This window comes from Homo sapiens, chromosome 12 (genome assembly GCF_000001405.40).
Source record: "Homo sapiens chromosome 12, GRCh38.p14 Primary Assembly".
In the NCBI taxonomy this organism is placed as follows: Eukaryota; Metazoa; Chordata; class Mammalia; order Primates; family Hominidae; genus Homo; species Homo sapiens.
In genome coordinates this window covers 84,723,522-84,731,071 of record NC_000012.12, presented here as the reverse complement: position 1 = coordinate 84,731,071, position 7,550 = coordinate 84,723,522, and the positions used below count along the sequence as shown (strand labels likewise).

At 34.1% G+C, this 7,550-nt stretch overlaps 1 annotated feature.

Annotated features, from left to right (window-relative positions):
• Positions 6,638 to 7,139: an enhancer, noted in NCBI's record as "NANOG hESC enhancer chr12:85117712-85118213 (GRCh37/hg19 assembly coordinates)". NCBI's record gives its function as "activates a minimal SCP1, AML or CMV promoter by ChIP-STARR-seq in primed H9 embryonic stem cells {active_cell/tissue: H9 hESC(primed)}" and the evidence as "EXISTENCE:reporter gene assay evidence [ECO:0000049][PMID:30033119]".

Sequence of the window (7,550 nt, the reverse complement as noted above, 5' to 3'; positions counted from 1 at the left end):
AAGCTGGCCTCCCAGGCAGGGGTTGAGCTCCCTTCTGTTTGCTCCATGGAAACCAGCAGGGCCTGGTACTTAAGGTAATCAAGTTTGGATTACTACAAGTCTTGGGAGCCAACATCCCCTTCTCATTCATCACCCTAAGGGAGGCAGTTTCTTTTTCAAAACCTAGTTCATTAAGTCACACAACCCAAATTTGGGAGCTGTCTCCAGTATCTGTCTTTTGGATCTGCTAGATCTCTAGGCTTAATGGGGAATCTGGACACCCGTTATTGCTTTTGTCTCTGAGCTTTCTCCTGTAAATGCTGTTCCAGCAGGCTTAGCGTGTGGATGCCCCCTGGCTATATGCCTTTGTCCACTCAACACCTTTGTACAGTTAATATGGTATAAATGTATACGCATATGCATGAAAGAGAAAAAAGCAGAGAAACAAAAATGATTAATATCTAAATTACAATGCTGATGCCACCACATTATAATTCTTAATATCACAGCCTCACAAATGCATTGGTGAAAATGTCACTTACTGGATTGTTTATTAGGTTTCATAAGATACTGCTTGTAAAGTACGTACAAGAGTGTCCAGGATTCTTTCATTCATTTATGGATATATTGATATATTTATTCATTCACTTCTAATGTTGATGAAGTACCTATAATGAGTCAGATGATGTTCCAAACACAGGGCATTAAGAAATTCTCAAAAAATATGAGGTATTATTTCAATAGCAGAGTTTTAACTATATACAGTACCATTATTAAAATTATTTTATTTTTAAGTTTATTATGTTGATGCAAAAGTAATTGAAGTTTTTAACATTAAAAGTAATGGCAAAATATTATGAATATATTATTTATAACCCATTTAAATCCATTTCTATGAATGGTTGTGTATGTATGTGTATAAGTGTGTGTTCTGGTTAGTTTTAATCTTCATTTTACTGCTTGGACAGTTGTCTAATACTGAAGTGTCCTAGTTTGCAGCACACACGCATGGATCATTTATATTCATTTGAAATATATACTCGGAACCCCATACTCCAGAGGTCTTATACAAACATGTGAATTCATCCAGCTTATCTAGCATTGTACTTCATAAACAACAGAAGCTGTTTAATTATATTCCTAGCAAATGTCACAAAGCATTTTTTAATGAAATAAGCATTATTTAAATATGGGAATTATAAGGAATAGTTGCCTCCATTTAAAGATGGAGTAAGAATCTAGAAATAAAACATATCGTTATAATAGTGTACTTGATTTGTAATTCCTTCCTGACTAGATTTTTGTCACTTTGCACAAGCTAGCTATTTAGCTAAACATTTAGCTGAATCCTGCCACAGAAATATTATTGCATTTGCCTTCTGCTGTTGGAACACTTAAAAGGACAGAGACTTAGAAAGTCACCACACTTACATAATGGACATTTTTCTGTCTTTACACATATTTGCAGTTGCGATAGCATTTAGCCTAAGGCTTCCTACCATAATATACTACCTGACATTCGATAACATCTTACCTGCTTCTGTTATAGGCTCATTTAGCAAATTAAATCTAATAATTTTGAAGAACAAATTAGCTAATGGTAAATCTATCGTGTTGATGCAAAAACAAAAATAAAGTGTAGTTTTCATATAGTGCTATACACTTTGAAAGGTACTTCCAAAACACTTGAAGAAATGTAAAATGTATATGGTTTGTATTACTATGGTCATGCTATGAGATTTTTTATTTGTTCTTTGTAGAAAGAATGGAAGCTTAATCAGCAGTTCTATATTCTGATTTCATAATAGAAAAACTGGATCTTAATCCAAAATTGTTTTTCTTTAAAATGTAAATATAAAATATGATTTTCCTTTTTTTTTAATTTTCTGACATTAATGCAACACACAGTTGCTTTAGAAAACTTAGGGTATATAGAGAAATACAAAGAAATATCTTCAATTACTCCAAATTTCACAACCCCAAATTTATTAATTTTGAAAGGTATTCTTCTGTAGTAATAACATTAACTATTCTTTAGTCTTTTGCAATAGATATATTCTTCTCTTTTATACCATCTAGTCTCTGCAATTTAAAAATAAAGCAACATTAATTCTACTTTCTATACCTTTGAGGAAAGAGAAATTGTGTAAAGTATTCTTAACTTGTAGTCCAAGTTATTAGATGTATGGTAGTATTGATTTACAAAGTTAAAGGGTAGAGTAGAGACGGATTTAATTTCAGGAGTTCAACAACAACAACAACAAAAATTAAATATGTGCCCAGGCACTGTCTTAGGTGCTGTGAGACAAGATGCTAATTATAGCATGTTCATAATTTTCAAAGACCTGAAAGCCTAAAGAAAGTAGACAGCAAAGGCATAAATACTAACATGTAATTCTGTGCAAACTCTGATATAATATGCATAAAATAAAATGCATACCTGAGACACAAATGAAAGGAGCAAATTTGAAAGGACATAGATCAGTACATCAGGCAAATGGGGCTTGGGAAACACAGTAATAGAGAATTCCAGTGTGATTTTGTAGCATATGCAAAAACACAGACACATAAAGGGGCATATAGTGGAATTTAGGAATTTAGCATGGCTGTTATGTGGATGTGAAGTAGGGTGTGCCCAGACTTGAGGTATATTTTAGGTAAGGTGGGAAATATGAACAAGTGAAGACAGCTGAATGAAGACAGTAACAAATGGTTGGAGGTTGTGGCAAATTATAAAGCATCTGATGCATCACAAAAGGGTGAATCAACAAACCTTTTTACAGAAATATGTGTGGAAGTGCAGAACAAGCAAGGTCTGTAAGGCAAGTAAGGTGTGAAATGCATGTTAAGAGCGGCAAGAATCTCTTGTGGGTTTTAGAAATTCCTTATGGTAGTTCTTACCTCAGGCATACAAGCATGAGCCAGCCCCCTTTTTCATAACTTTCTGGCTATACTCTAACTGGGTCTGACAAGAGTGACTTTATCATAGTATCAGCAACTTTGAAATTCGACACCATGGCTTTAACCTTCAGTCAGGGTTTCCCAACCTCAGCACTACTGCATTTTTGGGCTTTCCACTTCTCTATTGTGGAGGGCTCTCTTGTGCATCGTAGAATATTTAGCAGTCTCCTTAGTGTCTACTTATTAGATTCAAGTAATACCCTTAGCCGCCTTCTCCATTTGTAGTGTTCAAAAGTATCTTCAGACACTGCCAAGTGTTCCCTGGGAGGCAGAAATTGCTTCCCAATTGAGAGCCACTACATTTAATAATCACCCAAGTTCCATGTAATAGAGTTATATGATGAGATTTAGACTATAGAGGAAATTCCAGTTGCAGTATAATTAAGTGTGTGAAGGTGTGGAGAGGATAGAGAGAAGCTGGAGGCAGATGATCTAGCTTAGAAACTATTACAATAGCTTTCTCTATTCCTATGAATAAGGATACTTTGACAAACAATAATGTCAACAAAATAAATATTTGACCTTCTATAAAACCCCAAACTCACAGAATATTAGTCTATTGCCTTCTATTCTGAATATAAATATCTTGCCAATTACATAATATTATTAATTATATGCTGTAGTGCTTAATAACCAGCTCTGATTTAAGCATTTAATATTTTGTGTAACGTCTGTGGCTTTTCTTTTTGTAGACACAGCTATCCTAAATGTGTTGCTTCCTGTTTTCTGCGAGTAACTGTAAGCACTAATGTTTAATTACACTGGAAACAGAATACTGACATTCATAGAAGTGCATCTAAGCTGAGATTGTGGAAATCATAATGAAAGCATATATTATTCCCATCTTGGAGCATTTAGTTCTTTACACCTATTTTTAACAAATACATGGGATCAGCTATGTAAGAAGCACAATGTTACACTCTTAAGACATGATAGGGAGCAATAGTGACCTTCCTGCCCTCATGAGCTTGAAGTTCAATGGAAGGATCAAACATTAGTCAAATAACCATACAGTATAAGTAAGACCATATCCACAGAAAGTGCTGTGGAAGACAGAAAGTAGGGAAAACCTTTTAGAATAATTATAGTGATCATGTGAGGTTCAGAGTTATAATCACATTTCAGTATTATTACCCAGAGTGACACCTTTAGGACTATGGCTGTGGCTCAAGAGCATACTTTCATTTTATGCGAAAATGCATGTAGACTATATTTGAACTGATTTATTACTCTATAAAAGTTGTATTTATTATTCTACATATTCTTATAAAAACAAGTCTAATCTGCAGTTGACCCTTGAACAACACGGGTTTCAGCTGTGAAGGCCCACTTACATAAGGATATTTTTTCAATAAAAGTTACACTAAGTATGCCTGCCTCTCCTGCCTCATCTTCCACCTCCTCCACTTATTCCACCTCTGCCATGCAAATATCTCTAGAATACCTCTCCACTTCCAGGGCATGATTTTTTAAATGGATTAACCTATCTAAAATAAAAAACATAATATTCAGCATTATAATTTGACAGCAAGACCAGCCCCTCCTCTTCCTCCTTTTCCTCAGCCTAGTCAACATGAAGATGCCTAGGATGAAGACTTTTATGATGACCCACTTCCACTTAATGTATATAAATGTAGTTTTTAAAAATAATTTTCTTAATAACATATTTTTCTCTAGTTTTTATAAGAATACAGTATATAACATATATAGCAAACAAAAAATGTCTAATCAACCACAAATGTTATTTGTAAGGCTTTGAGTCAATGGCAGTCTATTAGTAAGAATCTGGGGGAGTCAAAAGCTACGTGTGGATTTTTGACTTTGTGGAGGTCAACACTCCTAACCTTCATGTTGTTGAAGAGTTAACTGTATATTTAACCTGCTAAAAGGAGTTGTTTTGTGTAAATATAATCTGCAAAACATTGGCAATTAGTTAACTAAATAGCTAGAGACAGGGTTGGGTTTCAATGCTGTTATATAAGAAGAATTTTGCATCAAACAAGACTGAATTATTTCTGCAACTAATACCAAAATTCATGATGCACAGTTCTGTATGTAACTAACTATTTACCCTCCAACGCTTGGTAAGTAATCACTAATGTTTGCTGAATAAATGAATGATGAATAAATAAAAAAACTTGCTCTATGTCAGGCACTGTGAAATCCAAGACATTACTTTTAAGAACCTAACAAATGAGGAAGAGAAAGAACTACATTCCTAGTAAAATGTATAATATTGCAATGTGTAAGAGTGATATACACAACTTTCTAATATCTTGGATCAGAAAAAGATGGCTTCCGATGGAAGAGAGCAGAAACATCCAAGAGGTTTTGGAAAGGAGTTAGCGTTTGAATGGCTCTTGCAAAGTGAGAAAGTACTTGAAAGGCAGAATTGTGGGAAGGAAAACTAACGGCATAGGAAAAATACAGGGAGATGATTTGTCTAAGAAAACAAGGAAGAGAACCAATGACCTTTAGTGATCTGCAAAAGTGATGTAATTGAAGGCTTTAGGAGAGCCAACTAGCAGTGGCAAGGCAAAAGGACCGCACTTGAGGAAGCACCATGCGAAGAGGTGAAGCAAAGTGTTTAAAAGGCCTTTGAAGTAATTTTCCAAGTTTTTATCTGGAGAACCCTTTGTACTCTTGAAAGTATAAGAGTGAAAAAGGGTTTATTATTGAAGACCCCAAATAACTTTTATTTTTATAAGTTATATCGTTTAAGATTAGACATTGAAATAATGCAATTTAAAACTACCAGCAGGGAGTGGTGGCTCACACCTGTAATACCAGCACTTTGAGAGGCTGAGGTAGGCAGATTGGTTGAGGCCAGGAGTTCGAGACTAGGCTGGCCAACATGGCAAAACCCCATCTTTGCTAAAAATACAAAAATTAGCCAGGCATGGTGGTGCCTGCCAGCACCTTGGGAGGCTGAGGCACAACAATTTCTTGAACTTGGAGGCAGAGGTTGCAGGGAGTCAAGATGGAGCCACAGCACTCTAGCCTGGGCAACTGAAGACTGTTTCAGAAAAAAAAAAAAAAAGAAAAAAGAAAAAGAAAAAAGAAAGAAGATGAAAAAAACTTATTAACTCATTTAAGAGGAACTATAATAAACCATTGAATTTAACATAAATAACATGCTTTACAAAATATGACTATATTTGTCCAAAACAAAAAACAGTAAGAATATTGGCATTATTTTGCATTTTTGCAAATCTAATAGCTGGCTTAATTGAAGACCCTCTGAATTCACATATATGGTTCTGCATTCAATCTATTGCTCTATGTTGCTTTGACTAAAGTATATGAAGAAAATCTAGCCTTATACCCACATATGGTTAGAAAAGGGAAAAGCCTTTTCATGGTCTATTTAGATAATTGTAGATATCTTTCTTTGATTCTAAACCAAAACTTACAAGTGGTAGTTTCTTAAATGATAATGGCAATGTGGAGTCTAAAACTATATCAATCAATGTTTTGCAGTATATTAAAATCCATTATTCTCGGTTATACTTTGAATGTATCTTTTACTTCTCCATTATTTTGTAGCACTTACATTAGTCTATGGGAAATACTGGTTCAATTTGTTATGCAGATCTTCCAAATTTTGACACATTTTATAATACAATATTAAAATATCATACTTGGTAATATTGCCATGAATATCCTCAGAAAAGTATGTGTTGGAAAGCTATCAAACATATAGTGGTGGATGCAATTTTTCTAAAATTATGATTTTTGCCCAAAAGCTTAAATTTTATCATTGGCAACAAATACCGTAATTTATTTTTCTGGAAGTGACAGACTCACTTTGTTAATTTTTGAGAAAATATCTGCCAAATATGCAAGCCTGCATAACCATAGTTTGTCAGTTGCTTTTTCAAGTGCAAATGTTTTTCCATGAAAAGAAAGCTGCTAGTTTAGCTCACCACTCAAACAATGGCAAAAATACTTTGCTTTGAGGCAACCATTGTACTTTCATTATAAGGAAGCGGCATCAGGCTGAATGTTAAAAGGATGCATACTCAAGAGTTAATGCTAAATATAAATTTCTAATTTTTACTGCATCATGGAGGGCATTCTTAAGTGAACCTGATATTTTTTTTTTAGCTGTGAGTGCATAGTAAATATTAGAACCCACTATAGTTTGGTGCCACTGCCTTGATTCATGCTCATTATTATCAGTGTAATTTCAACACATGAATAAGAGGAAGGCAAAAAAGGTCTTATAAAAATAATCTTTATCTTCATAACCTCCTGAAAGTGTTTCAGAAACCCTCAAGTTTCCACAGACAACACTATGCGGTCCAGGACTGTGGTAATTAAATAAAGCAGCTACTTACTTGATTTTGTAAATTTTGGCTTTATAATTGTCCATGATAAAGCTCAATTTACATTTATTTTGTTGACTTCGAGTAGGCTTTCCAACTCTGACTTACTTTTTTCTACATATAAATGGCTACAATACAATAAGTTATTACTTGTTTTTTTATCTTTCTGACCCCAGATATTGATCTTATATGTTAGCAAATATCTTTAGAATACCCTCTCCACTTCCAGGGCATGATTTTTTTAAAATGGATTAACCCATCTAAAATAAAAAAAAATAATAT